Source organism: Homo sapiens, chromosome 5, assembly GCF_000001405.40.
Source record: "Homo sapiens chromosome 5, GRCh38.p14 Primary Assembly".
Taxonomy (NCBI): Eukaryota; Metazoa; Chordata; class Mammalia; order Primates; family Hominidae; genus Homo; species Homo sapiens.
In genome coordinates this window covers 91,446,976-91,467,008 of record NC_000005.10, presented here as the reverse complement: position 1 = coordinate 91,467,008, position 20,033 = coordinate 91,446,976, and positions in this window count along the sequence as shown.

The following is a 20,033-nucleotide window of genomic DNA, read 5'->3' as shown; positions in this document are numbered from 1 at the left end:
ATTAGTCAAGTGTGGCTTCAGGAAGAAATCACCATCGGTTTTTTTCTTAACCAGACCCATCTTTTCTAAACAACTGGCTTTTGCATAGAGCCAGAATCTAATCAGGCTCTCTCTGTTTCCTTGTAAAGTCAACTTTGATATTTATCTAAACATTTTATAGCTCCTTCTGCTAATTTACATGCTGTTTGTATTACACAGGTGAAGTCAAACCTTTTTCAATGAATATCATAATAGTGAAGTGGTTCTGGCTTACAAAGTTGTTTCTGTGTTCCACTTGACATTCATAGGTTCAAAATTTTAGTAACTTGGTTATAATAAACTAAACAATGGACTATCTAGTACACAGGAATCCTTTTCTGAAAGCCATCTACATGGTCCCATTCCTTACAGAGAAAGACCATGATAATGTGTTGGTACATTGCAATGAAGGGAGAGAAGGAAGGGAAGGAGGAAGAAAGAAAGAGGAAATGAAAGAGGGAAAGAAGGGAAAAAGGGAGGAAGGAGAGAAGGAAGGAAAAAAGGGAGGGAGAATTGAATTGAACTAAGATGTTTACACTTTCTATTTTGTCATCTCATAGCATCTTTACCTCTCTTCACACTTTTCTACATCAAACAATACCTAAACAAAACTACCATGAGTTCCCAAATGGCCTTTAAAACAATATTCTAATAGTCTAATAGATACAGAGGCAAGAAATCCATAAATTCAAAGAGAATTAATTTTCTCTTCAGAATTTATACATGAACAACATGAATTGTAGAAATTTTAACAATTTATATTTTATTACAGAATTTCATTCCAACTAAGAGGAAAAAATAATTTTGCACCCTTAAAGAATTAACTCACCAGGCACGGTGGCTCACACCTATAATCCCAGCACTTTGGGAGGCCAAGGAGGCTGGATCACCTGAGGTCAGGAGTTCAAGGCCAGCCTGACCAACATGGTGAAACCCCGTCTCTACTAAAAATACAAAATTAGCTGGGCGTGGTGGCGCATGCCTGTAATCCCAGATACTTTGGAGGCTAAGGCAGGAAAATCACTTGAACTAGGGAGGCAGAGGTTGTAGTGAGCTGAGATCGTGCCATTGCACTCCAGCCTGGGCAATGAGCAAAACTCCATCTCAAAAAAAAAAGAATTAACTCTAGTTCAATAAACACAGCCAAAATAAATAGTCATGGCTATATAAAAGATTAATATATAAAGATCTAGTCACATAATTTTTTTTACTTTAAAAAATGTTTAACTTTTATTTTAGGTTTAGAGGTACATGTGAAGGTTTATTACATAGGTAAATGTGTCATGGGGGTTTGTTGTACAGATTATTTCATCACCCAGGTATTAACCCCAGTACCCAATAGTTATCTTTTCTGCTCCTCTCTCTCCTCCCATCCTCCTGGCTCAAGTAGGCCCAAGGGTCTGTTGTTTTCTTCTTTGTGTTCATAAGTTCTCATCATGTAGCTCCCACTTATAAGTGAGAACATGTGGTATTTGATTTTCTGTTCCTGTGTTAATTTGCTAAGGATGATAGCATCCAACTCCATCTATGTTCCTGCAAAAGACATGATCTCATTCTTTTTTACGGCTGCATAATATTCCATGGTGTATATGTACCATTTTTTTTATCCTATCTGTCATTGATGGGCACTTAGGTTGATTCCATGTCTTCGTTATTGTGAATAGTGCTGCAGTGAAAATTCACATGCATGTGTCTTTATGGTAGAATGCTTTATATTCCTCTGGGTATATACTCAGTAAAGGGATTGTTGGGTCGAATGTAGTTCTGCTTTTAGCTCTTTGAGGAATCACCATACTGCTCTCCACAATGGTTGAACTAATTTACAGTCCCACCAATAGTGTATAAGCATTCCCTTTTCACCACAGCCTTGCCAGCATCTGTTATTTTTTGATGTTTCAATAGTAGCCATTCTGACTACTCACTGGGATCTCATTGTGGTTTTGATTTGCCTTTCTCTAATGATTCATAGTATTGAGCTTTTTTCCTTTCTTTTTTTTTGTTTTTTTGTTTTGTTTTTTTGACACCAAGTCTCACTCTGTTGCCCAGGCTGGAGTATAGTGTGGCGTGATCTTGGCTCACTGCAACATCTGCCTCCTGGGTTCAAGAGATTCTCCTGCCTCAGCCTCCCAAGTACCTGGGACTACAGGTGTGTGCCACCATGCCTGGCTAATTTTTGTATTTTTAGTAGAGACAGGGTTTCACCATGTTGGCCAGGCTGGTCTCAAACTCCTGACCTCAGGTGATCCACCTGCCTCAGCCTCCTAAAGTGCTGGGATTACAGGTGTGAGCCACCACGCCCAGCCAAGCTTTTTTTTCATATGCTTCGTAGCCACATGTATGTCTTCTTTTGAGATGTGTCTGTTCATGTACTCTGACCACTTTTTTTTTTTTTTTTTTGAGACGGAGTCTCGCTCTGTCATCCAGGCTGGAGTGCAGTGGTGCAATCTCAGCTCACTGCAAGCTCTGCCTCCCGGGTTCAAGCCATTCTCCTGCCTCAGCCTCCCGAGTAGCTGGGACTACAGGCACCCACCACTATGCCCATCTGATTTTTTGTATTTTTAGTAGAGACTGGGTTTCACCGTGTTAGCCAGGATGGTCTCAATCTCCTGACCTCGTGATCCGCCCACCTCGGCCTCCCAAAGTGCTGGGATTACAGGCATGAGCCACCGCGCCCAGCCAACTCTGACCACTTTTTAATGGAGTTGTTTTTCTCTTGTAAATTTAAGTTCCTTATAGATTTTGAATATTAGACCTTTGTCAGATGCATAATTGCAACCTGCAGAATATCTCCGATTCTGTAGGTTGTCTGTTTACTCTGTTGTTAGTTTGTTTTGCTGTGCAGAAGCTCTTAAGTTTAATTAGATCCCAATTGTCAATATTTGCTTTTGTTGCTATTGCTTTTGGTGTCTTTGTCACGAAATCTTTGCTCATTCCTGTGTCCAGGATGGTACTGCGTAGGTTGTCTTCCAGGGTTTTTATAGTTTTGGGTTTTATATTTATGTCTTTAATCCATCTTGAGTTGATATTTGTATATGGTGTAAGGAAAGGGTCCAGCTTCAATCTTCTGCAGTTGGCTAGCCAGTTATCCCAGCACCATTTATTGAATAGAGAGTCTTTTCCCTATTGTTTATTTTTGTCAGCTTTGTCAAAGATCAGATGGTTGTAGATGTGAGGCCTTATTTCTGGGCTCTCTATTCTGTCCCATTGGTCTATGTACCTGTTTTTGTACCAGTACCATGCTGTTTTGGTTACTGTAACCTTGTAATTTTCAAGTTGGGTAATGTGATGCCTCCAGCTTTGTTCATTTTGCTTAGGATTGCCTTGGCTATTCAGGCTGTTTTTTGGTTCCATATGAATTTTAAAATAGTTTTTCCTAGTTTTGTGAAGAATGTTGTCAGTAGTCTGATAGGAATAGCACTGAATCTGTAAACTGCTTTGGGAAGTATAGACATTTTAATTTTATTGATTCTTCCCATCCACGAGCATGGGATTTTTTTTATTTGTTTGCATATTCTCTGATTTCTTTGAGAAGTGTTTTGTAATTCTCATTGTAGAGATCTTCCGCTTCCTAGTTAGCTGTATTCCTAGGTATTTTGTGTGTGTGTGTGACAATTGTGAATGGGATTGCCTTTCTGATTTGGCTTTCAGTTTGGCTGTTGGTGGTGTATAGGAATGCTCATGATTTTTGTACATTGATTTTGTATCCTAAAGCTTTGCTGAAGTTATTTATCAGCTGAAGGAGCTTTTGGGCCTAGGCTATGGGGTTTTCTAGATATAGAATTATATCATCTGCAAACAGAGATAGTTTGACTTCCTCTCTTCCTATTCAGATGCACTTTATTTCTTTCTCTTGCCTGATTGCTCTGGTTAGGACTTCCAATGCTATGTTGAACAGAAGTGGTAAGAGAGGGCATCCTTATCTTGTGCCAGTTTTTTGAGGGAATGCGTCCAGCTTTTGCCCATTTAATATAATGTTGGCTGTGGGTTTGTCATAGATGGCTTTTGTTATTTTAAGTTATGTTTATTCAATACCTAATTTATTGAGAGTTTTTAACATGAAGTGGTGTTGAATTTTATCAAAAGCCTTTTCTGCATCTATTGAGATAATCATGTGGTTTTTGTCTTTAGTTCTGTTTATGTGATGAATCACATTTATTGATTTGCATATGTTGAACCAACCTTGCAGCCCAGGAGTGAAGCCTATTTGATCATGGGGGATGAGTTTTTTGATGTGCTGCTGGATTTGGTTTGCCAATATTTTGTTGAGGGTTTTTGCATTGATGTTCATCAAGGATATTGGCCTGAAGTTTTCTTTATTTGTTGTGTCTCTGCCAGGTTTTGGTATCAAAATGATGCTGGCCTCACAGAATGATTTCGGGAGGAGGGATTTTTGGAATAGTTTCTGCAAGAATGGTACTAGCTCTTCTTTGTACATCCGGTAGAATTCAACTGTAAATCCATCAGGCTCTGTGCTTTTTTTGATTGGTAGATTATTTTTTACTGATTCAATTTTGGAGCTCATTATTGGCCTGTTCAGGGAATAAATTTCTTCCTGGCTCAGTCTTAGGAGAGTGTATGTGTCCAGAAATTTATCCGTCTCTTCTAGGTTTTCTAGTTTGTGTGCACAACTCTGTGTGCACAGAGGTGTTCGCAGTAGTCTATGATGGTTGTTTTTATTTATGTGGGGGTTACTGGTAACATTTCCTTCATCATTTTTAATTGTGTTTATTTGTATATTCTCTCTAGCTAGACTTCTTTATTAGTCTAGCTAGTGGCCTATATATTTTATTACTGTTTTCAAAAAAAAACAACTCTTGCATTCATTAATCTTTTGAATGGTTTTTTATGTCTCAATTTCCTGCAGTTCAGCTCTGATATTTGTTATTTTTCATCTTCTACTAGCTTTGGGGTTGATTTGTTCCTGTTGACTAGGCTGGAGTGCAGTGGCACAATCTCGGCCCACTGCAACCTCCGCCTCCTGGGTTCAAGCAATTCTCCTGCCTCAGTTTCCTGAGCAGCTGGGACTACAGGTACGCACCACCACACCTGGCTAATTTTTGTGTTTTGGTAGAAACAGTTTCATCATGTTGGCCAGGCTGGTCTTGAACTCCTGACCTCAAATGATCCTCTTGCCTCGGCCTCCCAAAGTGCTGGGGCAGGCGTGACCCACCTCACTGACCTTGTTCTTGTTTCTCTCATTCTTTCTGTTGTGAAGTTAGGTTGTTGATTTGAGATCTTTCTCTTTGATGTGGCCATTTAGTGCTATGAATTTAACACTGCCTTAGTTGTGTCCCAGAGAATCTGGTATGTTATATCTTTGTTCTCATTATTTTCAAAGAACTTCTTGATTTCTGCCTTAATTTCATTATTTACCCAAAAGGCATTCAGGGGCATGTTGTTTAATTTCCATGTAATAGCATGGTTTTGAGAGATTTTCATTGGCTTGACTTCTGTTTTTATTGTGCTGTGGTCCAAGAGAATATTTGGTATGATTTCAGTTATTTTACATTTGTTGAGGATTGTTTTGTGTACAAATATGTGGTCAATTTTAGAGTATGTGCCATGTGGTGATGAGAAGACTGTATATTCTGTTGTTTGGGGGTGAAGATTTCTGTAAAGGTCTATCAGATCTATTTGGTCCAATGCTGAGGTTAGGTCCCAAATATCTTTGTTAATTTTCTGCCTCAATGATCTGTCTGATACTGTCAGTGGAGTATTGAAGTCTCCCACTATTATTGTGTGGGAATATATGTCTCTTTGTAGGTCTCTAAGAACTTGCTTTATAAATCTGGGTGTTCCTGTGTTGGGTGCACTTATATGTAGGATAGTCAGGTTTCTTGGATTGAACTTTTCACCATTATGTAATGCCCTTCTTTGTCTTTTTTGATCTTTGTTGGTTTGAAATCTGTTTTGTCTAAAATTAGTGTTGTAACTCCTACTTTTTTTGTTTTCCATTTTCTTAGTAGACTTTTCTCCATCACTTTATTTTGAGCCTATGAGTGTCATTATGTGTTGTCACATAATTTTTAATAGCAAAGTAACTACAAATTACATGTATAAACAATTGATTAAATATATTAATTTAATAAATCAGAATAGTGTATAATCACTAAAAGTGACGCTGTAGAAATATATTCACTAAAATAAAATTCAAATTTTTAAGAAGCAGATTGCAAAATACTATAAAGTCATATAACTGCTTAACTATGGGGATATGTTCTGAGAAATGTGAGGTTAGGTGATTTTGTTATGCAAACATCACAGTGTGTACACAAACCTAGATAGTATAGCCTACTACACACCTAGCTGTATTGTATAGCCTATTGCTCCTAGGTTACAAACCTGTACGGCATGTTACTGTACTGAATAATGGAGGCAGTTGTAACACAATGGTAAGTATTTGTGTATCTAAACATAGAAAAGGTACAGTAAAAATACGGTATTATAACCTTATAGGACCACCGTTGCATATGCAGTCGTTGACCCAAACATCATTAATGCGGTGCATGACTGTACATGGTATACTTGTAACATTTTGTGACACATATAATCGTGGAAAATAAACACTAGTAAAACAGTCACCAAAATGTTAATTTTATTCATCTCTGACTTGGAGGTTATGGCTGATATTTTATTTTGTTTTTAATACTTTGTCTATTTTATACAATATCTATAATAAACATGTAATATTTTGATAACCAAAACAAAAAAAAAGAAAATACCTGGATTCTAATGATAGCTGGGTCACGTTGAGCAAGTTGCTTAAGCTCATTCAGCCAAAGATACTTCATCTAAAAATCTGGGGCTATAATTGTACCAACCTTTTAGTGTTGGGTAATAATTAAATTAAATAATATAATTCATGTAAAATTCTTAGCACTGGTACATGAGTAAATGGAAGTTTGAAAAGACAAGCTACAAGAGCTGTACAGGAATTTCAAGTTTCCCCTCCTCTTCTATTCTTAATCATTTTAACCATCAACAATTTAGTTAGTGTACCCTTGAGTTCAAACTCTCCTAAATCAAATCATTGTTTCACTAACTTGTGGAGGTTTGTTGAGCCAAAGAACATCACTATGGCTGTGGCCCAAGTTAATATTTCCCATCAGCTGCATTACACATTGGTAGTTTCAGTAAATGACCATCATGGCCAACAGAGGAAAGAAAAGAATTATCTTCCTAATTCATACTCTTTGGGAATTCTAAGAAGGAAACACATAATTACTAGAATTTGGCTGGCATATTGAATCTGGGGCGTGAAGAAAAGTCATGGGACTTTTAATGATAGAAAACAGTCCAGACCTCAGATTTTTATGTCATCAAATTAAAAAAAAGTCCTTAAAGTAAGATACTCTAATGAAGAAAGGTTTTCTTCTGGGTATACTTCAGTCATTTTAACTGGAAATATAAATTGTTATTCTGTATAATTATTATGTTTTTATTTTTTCTGGAATATATATGTCAGTATTAATCAGGTAATAATCTGATTGAAGATAGTCACGAGTTCAGAGATCCACTCATTCCTTCCTTCATTCATTCACCCAAGAAATATTTATTGATCACTCAGTATGTGACATTCACTGTGTAGATACTGAGGATACAAGGAAGGTCTCTTCTTGTGAAGACACATAATGGGGAAAATATTCAAATAAGAACACAAATAATTATATAATTATAATTGAAGTTACAAAGGCGAGGTGGCATGGTTCTGAGTGAGGAGTGGAGGATGTGGAATTAGAAGCAGCAAGCTTTGGGCAGGTAAGGTGGCTCACATCTGTAATCCCAGCACTTTGGGAGGCTGAGGCAGTGAATCACCTGAGGTCAGGGGTTCGAGACCAGCCTGGTCAACATGGTGAAACCCTGTCTCTACTAAAAATACAAAAATTAGCTGGGTGTGGTGGCCTGTAATCCCAGCTACTCAGGAGACTGAGGCAGCAGAATCACTTGAACCCAGGAGGCAGAGATTGCAGTGAGCTGAGATAGCACCACTGCACTCCAGCCGGGGTGACAGAGTGAGACTCTGTCTCAAAATAAATAAATTAATTAGTTAAATTAAAATAAATTTATAAAAAGCAGCAGCAAGCTTTTACAACGCTGAGAGTTCTCTCTCGTGGGATAGTGGTCTCTCTCTCCCTCTCTTTTGCTCTCTCTTCCCGACCTTCCCTTCCTCTGCCCCCACCACATGTGTGTAAGTATGTATGTGTATGTGTGTGTAAGAGATAAATAGAGAGTATGTGTGTGTGTGTTTTCTCTTGTAAATGCCCATCATGGCATATCCACACCCATGCTTTAACCCAATCAGTTGAAACTGTTAGCGGTGTGTACTAGTTTACTAAGGCTGCCATAACAAAATACCAAAGACTCGGTGGCTTAAACAATGGAAGTTTATTTCCTCACAGTTCCATATGCTGGAAATCCAAGATCAAGATGCCAGCTGGGTTGACTTCCTGGGAGGCCTCTCCTTGGCTTGCAGATGGCAGTCCCTGCTGTCACTTCACATGACACATGGTCATCCTTCTGTGAACACGCTCCCCTAGTGTCTCTCCCTTTTCTTAAAAGGGCACCAATCATATTGTTTTAGGGTCCCACTCTAATGGCCGCATTTTAACTTCATCACCTCTTTTAAAAATGTTATCTCAAAGCATGGTTACATTCTGAGGTACTGATGGTTGGGATTTTGAAATATAAATTTGTAGGGGACACAATTCAGCCCATGACAGGAAGTTAAAGGCTTAGGGCATTGGGAGGCATAGTTGCCACACATGGTTATGCCAGTTATGTATTGCACAGGCTATAGGATGTGTCGCTCACATAGCAGTTATCATAAATTTTTGTATTATTTAACAAAAATTTTCCTGCAGAAAGTGTCTGGAGAAAGATTTGCCTTTTTTCCCGCCACTATGAAGTAGAGGTTTGCCTTTTTCTGATTTTCGCAAAGGACCGTTTGGACTAACAGTGTTGCTTTATGATAGGAAACACTTTTCCCTAATCTGATATTTCTTTCCATATGGAGAGGGCTCTCCTACAGTAACACTACAAGCCCCTCTTTGCCCCTCCTCACTCTCAATGAATCCTCCCTTGAAGAGTGATTTATCTTTGATGACTAATTTTGAAGCAGCTCCATAAAGGTCCTGTGTCCACACTCACACATTGACATAACAAAGGCCATGTGGGGTAGGATTAAACATGGAGCTTCTGGAATCAAATGACCTGGGTTTAACTCCAGTTCTGCCACTACATGACCATAGGTCTTATTTAACACCTGTGTGCCTAAGACTCCTCACCTATAAAATAGAGATTATAAATATAGCCTCGTTTTAGGGTCATTGTAAGAATTCTATTTATAGTGAGATTAATAAATAAATATTCAAGTAAAAGTTGCTCTTATGACTTCTGCACAGATTTCAGGATTGCCTTTCTGACTCTCTTCCCTGAAGGCAGGGAAGAGCAGACAAGCTACACTGATAATTATGTGAATGCAGCTCCAAGAGGGCTATGACTCCACTACATACATACCAAACACTGGCAGAGCTCTGGGCGTAGAGAAGGTATTCTTGACTTGTTGAATGAATTCATTTACTAAAAGAATCAAGGTCAGACTGCAGAATTCCAGTCTATACTTGAGAGTAGGGTTTTTATCTCATGAGTCTGTATATCCTCTGAACTGCCTAGTATGACATCTTGTTTCTGGTAGGTAACAAAATATGTATTGAGTTGCTATTAGGTTAAATAAACATAACATACTATAATGTAATTTTACCATTGTCCCTTCCTGTATGATTTTTCTTTGAAAGACAAAGGGCTTTTGAGAAGTGTTGCATTATTTTAAATGCCCCTGCAGAGTTCTACAGAAGGCTAATGGTGATGGTTGCATAACAATGTGAGTGCACTTAATGCCACTAAACTGTGCACTTAAAAATAGTCAAAATGGCTAATTTTGTATTATGTATATTTTACCACAGTTTTTTAAATGTTTGCCAAGGATCTACAGTGAGAAGAAAGTAAAGTTGTGCTGCTCAAATATTTTTTTGAAAATCAAGTAAGGTACCCAAGTGCCTGGCACATGGCAGAAGCTCAACAAAAGTTAGTTCCCCTTCCAATAGTTCTGAATCACAACTGCCCCTGATGGTGACAGTCATGAATAATGACCCCTGTAGTTTCTATTGCCAGATAAAAATGTTTTTCAGGGGATAGGGAGGGGGGGAATCAACATTTGTAATGCTTCATGTCCTGATACTGTGGATGGTGGCAATAACCGCCCCCACACCGCCCCCCTCCACTCCACCAGAAGAAACATTAAAGCTTGGTCTCTATTATAATCAATTCTAATATCATGAATTACAAATTGCCAAAGGAAATGCTTGAGATATTAAAAGAAGACATGCCATCTACTTTCCATTTTGGATAGGCATCTGTAACATTGGTTTCAAAATAACATGTTTTTTTTTTTTTTTCAATTACAGCTCTACTGAATTTATGTGCTTCATTATAAAGTAATTCTGGAGGAGTTAAGGGATTAGAAAGTAGAGCCATTTACTCTCTTCAGAGGAAAACCACAATATAATACAAAGAAAGAATGAAGGATACAAATAATCTTATATTTAATACACAGTCAATATTTTAGAGAAGATATGTTCCTATCCACCTACTCATCGGCCTCCTTGTATTTGACTATTTTTTACAAAAATCAACCTATTCTTGATTGTCTTAGTTTAAATAAATCATGACATGATCCTGAGAACTTGGCAAGAACATCAATGATTTTACATCTGGCATCACACACCAGCTGCATATTGAGGGAATGAAAAGCTTTTCTATTTCTTTACCTTGCTTCATTAGTGAGTATGTGGTGATGCATGCATTACCGCCTGTGTGCAGGCTCAGCTCCCCATATGGAGAGGCACTCGGCAATGTCACAAAACCCATGCATCATTTACTGTGAAGCAAAACTTTCAAAAATAATAAGAATGATATTTTTACTAAATTTTTTTTTCTAAAAATGGGTATATTGGTTTTTTTGTGAATAGAATTATATGCTTAGTGTATATAGGTGGAACCTGTTGCAAAAGTCTCTAATGGAGAAATAACTTTAGCTGTCACAGTTGAACATATGTATGGTATGGTACCCATCTTCAAGTCATCATACAGTAAAAAACAATAATTTCCATGCCAAATCTATGTCCAACACATTTTCTACTCAGTTCTTGACAACTATACTACTTACTGGGAAAATATCTGCGCTGTGAGCTTTATGGTTATCTAAAGAACTCTTTACAGTGTCCTCAGTCTGAGCATAGTTATTTGCCTTGTATTTGAATTTTGTAAATTTAGCAAACATCTCTTTGTACTAGTTATCTATGCTGTGTAACAAATTACCCCAAAATTTAGTGGCTTAAAATAACAATTTATTATCTTATGGTTTCTGGTAATCAGGAAATCAGGAGTGGCTTAGCTGGGCAGTTATGGCTCTGGATTTCTCATGAGATCTCGCCAGGACCACAGTCATCTTAAGATTTTACTGTGGCTGCAAATCAGCTTCCGAGATGACTCACTCGTGTTATTAGTTTGCTGTTTATGGCTGTTTTTCCAAGAAGTCTCAGTACTTTTCATGTGGAACTCTCTAGACAGCTCCTTGAATATCCAGATGACATGGCTTCTGGATTCTCCCAGAGTGGCTGATCCAAGGGAGCAGAGTAGAAGAGGCACTGTGCTGCCTTTCATGACCTAGCCTTAGAAGACCCACGCCATCACTTGTATGGTCACTTGCAGACTAAACCTGGTTCAGTGTGGAAGGGGACTACAAGGAAAGTTGGAGATGAGGATCATTACAGCCGTGTTGAAAGTTGAAAGTTGAAAGTTGGAGATGAGGATCATTAGAGCCATCCTGAAGGCTGGCTACCACACTCTTAAATAAATTTTATTTTCAAATTTATAGGCTTCCATTGTATAAACACTTTTATTGGGTTGAAATCTGATTTTGCATATGTTCACTTTTCTGTCTTGGCTGAGAATTAAAATAGTAGCATAGAAGTAAAAACAGAGGTTCTCTACTGTAATAATTTAATCAATCTAAAAATTATAGACATAGCCATACTCAGCAAAAGAAAAATGTATCTGATCTAAAAGCAACAGCTATTTGTAACCCACTGGAAGCACTTACCCAATAATGAAAGCTAAAATCATTTTAGGTAGTTGGTTAAAATTACAGATCAGGAAACTAATTATTTAGAGAGATTTTATTGTTTCATTGTTTCATTTCATTCAATATTCTGAGGTAATATCAATCATTAATCTGGAACTATTTTTTAATAAGCAAATAAAAGCTTTTTATTAATGACACGTGAAGGGAAAAGAATGATCTTTATTGGATTTTAAAGAAACGAAAAGGAAATATTCATTCAGAATTTATCACTAAACTATTTGTAGAATCTCTAACTTGGTATTTATTCAACAAATATGTCTGAGCACCTGTTGCTTTGAGATACTCTAGGGAAATAAAACTAAGCCAAGGAACTTGCCTTCAAGGAACTTACACCTGGTTGGGTTGATAAGGCAGGTTAACACATACTTAAATACTAACCATTGTGCAATAAGTTTTAAAAGAGAAGGGAAAAGTGTAATATGAATAGTGGAGAAAGAAAGCAATTTTAACTGACAAAACCCACAAAGCATTAGAGAGTATTGGCATTTGGGCTGACTCTTTAAAGATGAATAGATTTTAACAGTGGGAGATGATAGAGTGGTTATTACAATAAAAGAAGCAGCAAAATCAAAGTGTAAATTCAATAAAGCACAAGGTTACCAACACATATCAAGCCCTCTTCAGTGTATGTACATCCTCCCACCACCTCCATGTTTTCAGGTAAGAAGTCAGATAGATTCTGTCTCACTGAAGATTACATCTTTCTCCTCGTCCATCCTCCAGCCAGTCCAACATTGTCTTTACCTTCTACTGGCTTTTTGGTTTGCATTTTCTGAGGCTGGTTTTCTGCCATTCCATCAGTTCTATAATTTAAACAATCTGATTCCAGTAAGTTCCCTCTTTTTGTTATTCCTGCTTCAATAAACCAGTGAAAGTCTCTATATAGGATCTAAAATTTATTTTTTATTTATTTTTAACTAATACATAATAATTGTACATATTCATGAGGTACGTAGTGATGTTTTGATACATACAATGCACAGTGATCAGAGAGTGGTAATTAGCATATCCATCATCTCACACATTTATCATTCCTTTGTTTTGGGAACATTCAATATTCTCTCTTCTAGCTATTTGAAAATATATATTATTGTTAACTATAGTCATCCTACAGTGCTATAGTTTAAACGATTCTGATACAGCTATTGTGTCAGATTGTATTTCTAATATGGCCACAAAAAGATCTCCCATTCAACATTTTCTTTTTATAATATGACCCTTCCTCCATCCAGACATGGCATCTACATTCCCTTTTCTTGAAGTGGGCCTGTGGCTAAGCCAAAACTAGCAGTATGTGACTTCAGAGGCTGGCTTCCTCCTAGGACCATTGGGATGCTCATTCTTGGAACCCAATAATCATGCCATGAGAAAGCAGGCCACACAGAGACAGGGAGGCCATGAGTAGTAGGTGTTACCACAAATAGCTGGAGCTAAGGTCCCAGCCCCAGCCACCATCTGACTGCCACCGCAAGACCAGTCTCAAATGAGAACTGCCTAACTGGGCCTAATCAATGCCAGAACCATAAGACGTAATCATGAGCTGACTGTTGTTTTAAGTCATAATACCTTTGAATTATTTGTTTCATAACAGTAGATATTTAAGAAAGATTCTGGCACCTGGAAGTGGGGCACTGTCATGACAAAATCCTGAGACATGTAGTATTATCTTTAGGAACAGGTAGTGAGCAGAAAGTGGGAGAACATTGAAGAGACTGTTAGTAGAAACTTAGCCTCCAGCAAAGTGTTAGTGGAAGCCCAGAGGGCTGAAGGAGGCTGTCAATCAGGGCTCAAGCAAAGTACAGGAAATGCAATTGGCAACACTGTCACCCTTAGTAATGTGAAAAATTGAAAATGTACTTAATGAATGTGAAGATCTAGTTAAGAAGATTTTAGGCAGAATATTGAAATTACCACCTGGCTTCTCACTGCCTATGATAAAAGGCAGGAGGAAAAAGATGGGCTAAAGAATATACTGTTAAATATAGAAGATCCAAGACTTGTTGGATTTGAAAATAAAACTATTTCTTGTTCTCAACCTCTTACAACAGCAAAGGATTCCAAAATTAAAAGTAGCTTCTGGGCATAGATGAAATCCAGTGCACTGTCGGGAAAACGTGGTCTACAAATGAAACGTAGGGCATGACGGTAAAACTCTTCAAGATTTTAAAAAGATTTAAAGTAATGGCTCATAGAAACTTTCAGTCAGACCAAAAGCCTTTTAAGGATCTTAAGAGTTTGCTTTGCAGATCTTCTCAGTTAAATGATTGGGCTTTAAGAGTCTCAAGGATGTTGTGTCCTGCAGTCTCATATGAGCCTGAGGGAGAAAGGGGTTTACCTGGAATAATAGGAGGGTGTGCCTCAGGATTATAAAGTGATATATTTAAACACACAATGCTTTCAAAAGAAATATTCTGGAGGAATCACTGTCAGCTTGGACTGAAAAGGACAGATAAATACTAAATATTTAATAACAAGATGACTTTAAACCTCTACCCTTCTACAGGCAGAAAGTAGACTAAGGAGACTATTAAATTGCAAACTTAGGTTTTCTTATTGAAAACAAAGGATGATTCTGAGGGCACCTAGAGCCCAGAGGGTAGAGCCAAGAGTCATGATGAACACCTCCCAGGCAAGTGGACTGAGCCCTCATCAAGGATATAGAAACATGCTAGCAATCAGTGGCTGCTCTGTGCCCTTGTCCTACCCTTTGGGAACTATCCTACCATTATATGTTGGGGATGTAGAAGAGAGATAGCCTGTTTCTTTAATTCACATGTCTTCACACTGAAAGCAATGGTCCTCAAGGAGATGTACCCAAGGAACCACAATGAAGGAGCCTCACCTGCACCTGGGCCTGATTGCAATTCCTAGACCTCAAGCAAATGCCATAATGAAATGCGATTTGGCAGAAGATAAAAAGACAAACATATTTTGCCTAGAGGAGGGATGTAAATTATTATGGCCAAAGGGGGGACCATGACAGATACTGCTTTCCGACATGACCATAAGATCTCCCATTCCAGATTGGGATGTGATCTTGACACTTCTCCCACAGACAGGCCATATGCCTCCTCCTTGAGCCTGGGCAGGCCTATGATTATAGCAGAAATGGAGTGATCTCACTTCAGAGGATAGGTTGTAAAAGGGAATACAGTTTCTACCTCGGCCTCATGGGACACTCCTTCTTGAAACCAGTCACATGTTATGAAGAAGAGGAAAGACCTCATTGAGACTATAGAAAGTGTTCTTGCCAACTGTCCCAGATGAGGTGTCAACCAAAAGCCAGTATCAACCTCCAGACATGGGGGAAAGTGAGCCTGGAGATGATTCAGCCCCAGCCACCATCTGGCCACCACCACATGGAGATCCCAAGTAAGAACCGCCTAGTAGAGCCCAGTTTGTCCCCAGAGTCATGACTAGAAAAAAATAAAATGATTCTTCTTGTTTTAAGCCACTAAGTTTGGAGGTAATTTGTTACACAGCAATAGATAACTGGGACAGTTTTCTCCTAAAATAATTAATGGTTTTTAATCCTTAAAAATGCCAAGAGAATTAAGTAAATATTGGAAACTAGGGTTTTTTTTTTTCCTATAGCAGCTTTTATAAAGTTTTGTCTTTCTTTCATATAAAAGTTTCACTAAGGTGCTACCTTCATCTTCTTTTTAAACTGGGGGTATCTGCTTCAGAGCTTTTTTTAAATATAAAAATTTGTAAAATCTTTTGTAGTAGATATTTGTTGCTTTTTGTCTACCACCCTATCCCCCAGTTCAGGTTGGTCAATAGGAAGTTCTCATGATTTAAGAAATGCCATGTGACCCACCATGCTGAGACAGTCTATCTGTAGAATGAACTGCTACTTGTCAGGTATAAGTTAAGTTGCTGTGATGAAGAGGCTCCAAAATGTCGTTAGGGAAATAAAGCATAAGTTTAGTACACACTAGTAACCATCCAAAAAGTGAGCATTTCAGGGCTGGCAAAGTGGCTCTGCTATACAAAGTTATCCAGGGACACAGAGATGATTACTCATTAATCCCATGAGAACCCATTAACCCATTAATATATTAATCCACAAGGACAGGGCCCTCATAACCCAGTAACTTCTTAAAAACCCATCTGTCAATACTGCCACATTGAGGGTTAAATTTCTACATGAGTTTCGGAGGGGACACATATTAAAAAAACAACAAAAACATTGGCACCAGAAGGCAAAATGAAGGCATTTAAATGAGACAGAATAAACACACAGAGCAGGTAACTTAGCCTAGTCAGCTCAAGTCATGGCGGTCAAACTACAGCTAGCAGGTGAGTAAGCAGCCAATGTAAAGGAATTATAGCATGATTCAGATGCTAAGCAGAACCAGGGTAAGTTAGTATGATATGATCATCAAACTATGGGGACAGACAGACCTGTAAATCCAACTCTTCCAGAAGAATGACTGCATGGACAATGTTAACGTTTTCCCCAGGGATTCTCTTTCTTCTGTTTCCTAGGTAAGGTGACCAACTTTTTTGAATTGACATGTTCTTTTCAGGATATTCTTGCAATCCAAATTTGCCAGGTAAGGTCACCATGAACAGTAATACAGATTGTATGAAATGTACAATGTACAATGGCCACATATAAGGCAACGATATCTCCATTCACATGAATTCCATATATTTGTATATTTATTATGGCATTTATCTAACCAGATGGAAGTCAAATATCTTGAGGAACGGGTATGTTTTGTAGTAAATTATATAAAACTATATGGACTAGTGGCTGGCAGTACTCATTCTTCTTGCCCCTTAGGAGTGGATGGAAATTGAATTCCTCATTATTCTATGGGAAGAAGCCTGAGAAATAGCCTAAGTGCCTTCTACTTAAAAGTTCTCTGCTGGTCTAGATCCCACTCCAACTAGTAGTGTATGACAGAGCACCTATGTCCATTCTGCCTAGTCCCCTTCTTAAGTTCAGCCATGCTTGTCTCTTCCAGACTCATATGAACTCTGGGAGAGGTGTGATAGCTTGAGCAGTTCTTTTACTTATGAAAACTACTTCCAAATTTCATCCAAAATGTATGAAGTAAACATACGCTAAATAAAGAGTGCATTTATACTATAAAAGAAGGGGTGAAGAAGTGTATTTTTGAAAGGCATCCCACTCCAACACTGTCTTGTTTCCTCTCAACCACCATTATGCTTTCTAATCATCAAGCCTCAGGCCTTCTTTAGGTCCCTCCCTGGTCCAGAAGCTCCAATTCCCTTCTGAAGAATTTCTACTTCTCCTCGAATGAGATAAGTCCCACACCACTTCCTTTTTTGTGTGTCTTTTAAACATTGATGCCTCTGGTTTCAGTCTGATTTTTAATTTTTTTTAATTTAGTCTTGATTTTAGTATTCATTTTTCTGCTCCAATTTCTGCCTTCCCCAAAAGAAAAGGAGTGGACTTTAATCCTGTGAACACAAGGAAGAAAGTATGTGCCAAGATTCCATATCAATCTTTCTACCAACAATAGTTACAACACATTTCCTTTTAAATTATCTAAAAGCAAACATACCACCCCCAACATCAAGTGTACTAGTTTCCTACAGGTTTCATTTCAAACTACTACAAACTTGGGATGGTTTAAAACAACAGAAATTTATTATTTCACCATTCTAGAGGCTAACAGTCTGAAATTACGGCATTGGCAGTTCCATGCTTTCTGAAAGCTCTAAGGAAGAATCTTTCTGTGCTTCTTCCTAGGTTCTGGTGGTTGCAATCTTTGGGGTTCCTTGGCTTGTAGATGAATCGCTCCAATTTCTGTTTCCATAGTTACATGGCATTCTCCTTCTGTCTGTCCATGTTCTAATTTCCTTCTTATAAGGATACCCATCACTGGATTAGGCCCCACCCTAATCCAGTATGACCTCATTGTAACTTGATTAGATTTGCAAAGACCCTAGCTCCAAATAAGGTCACATGCATTTGTACTAAGGGTTAGGACTTGAACATATCTTTTGAGGGCACACAATTCAACCCACAACACCACCAAGTATTAATTTTCTGACATTGACAATATAATCTAGTTTATCTGAGGCAAGTATATTCCTACTATCAATATGACTTTGAACTAACACTCAACAAAATAACAACTCTGATTAATGGTGTTTAAGAAAAATTACACCTTTTACAGGCCTTGAAGTATTTATCTTTTTTTATTTTTTTATTTCCATAGGTTTTGGGGGAACAGGTGGTATTTGGCGACATGAGCCAGTTCCTTAGTGGTGATTTGTGAGCTTTTGGTGCACCCATCACCCCAGCAATATACACTGTTTATCCCTCATCCCCTTCCCTCCCTTTCCCTCTGAGTCCCCAAAGTCCATTGTATCATTCTTTTGCCTTTGCATCTTCATAGCTTAGCTCCCAATTATGAGTGAGAACATATGTTGTTTGGTTTTCCACTACTCAGTTACTTTACTTAGGATAATAGTCTCCAATCCCACCCAGGTTGCTGTGAATGCCATTATTTCATTCTTTTTTATGGCTGAGTAGTATTCCATCATATATACATACCACAGTTTATTTTAATCCACTCATTGATTGATGGGCATTTGGGCTGGTTCCACATTTTTGCAACTGCGAATTGTGCTGCTATATGCATATAGGCCTTGAAGTATTTCTCTATGCGTTTGTAACTATCTAGCTGTCTGGAGCATATGAGTTTGCAACCTCTTGATTAGAGTCCAATATTGTAGGCCTGGAACCACTTACAAGGTGAGTATGTACGTATCTGCAATGTCATCTATTATACTATTTTTAAAATTTAACTCTCAGACAATAAATTTATTTCCAAGTTCTTAGAGGAAGTTACTTATAATAAGTGTCACATCCTGACAATGTAAGCTGTCAAAGGGGACCAGAGCACTGGAGTTGGGGGAAGAGAGGATTAAGCCTATCTCCTACTTCTCCCTCCCCAAAACTCTCAAGCAACTAAGAGGATTTTGGGGTATTACATGATTCTGTAGGCTATGGATATCTGGGTATGGTGAAATAGCCCGTCTGTTATATAACTTCATAAAAGAAACTCAGGGAGCTAAAACTCATCTTTTAACCTGGGAACCTGAAGCTCAAAAGGCCTTTAACCAGCTAAAGCAAGTCTTGCTCAAGGCACCAGCTCTCAGCCTTCCTGTAGGGAAGGTCTTCAATCTGTATGTATCAGAAAGGAAGGGAATAGCCCTGGGAGTTTTAACACAGGCTGGAGGACCAGCTCAACCAGTGGGTTATCTAAGTAAGGAACTTGATTTGGTGGCTAAAGAGTGGCCAGCATGCCTCCAAGCCATTGCCTCGGTGGCTCTGCTGGTCCCAGAAGCCTCCAAATTAACCCTGGGGAATGATTTAACTGTTTACACCCTACATAATGTGGCAGGACTACTGTACTCTAGAGGAAGCCTTTGGCTAACAGATAGCCGACTCCTTAAATATCAGGCCCTACTGTTAGAGGGTTCCAACATCCAATTAAAGACTTGTTCTAGCCTAAATCCAGCCACCTTCCTCCCTGAAGAAACTAGGGAACCTGAGCATAATTGTGAACAAGTCATAGTACAGACCTATGCAGCCAGGGAGGATTTCAAGGAAACTCCCCTAGAGAATCCAGACTGGACCCTCTTCACAGATGGGAGCTCTCTTGTAGAGCATGGATCCACAAGGCAGGATACGCAGTAGTCACTCTAAATGACGTCATTAAAAGTGTGTCTCTTCCTCCAGGCACAAGCGCTCAATTAGCTGAGCTAATAGCTCTTACAAGAGCAATTGAATTAAGCAAAGGAAAGGTAGCTAATATTTACACTG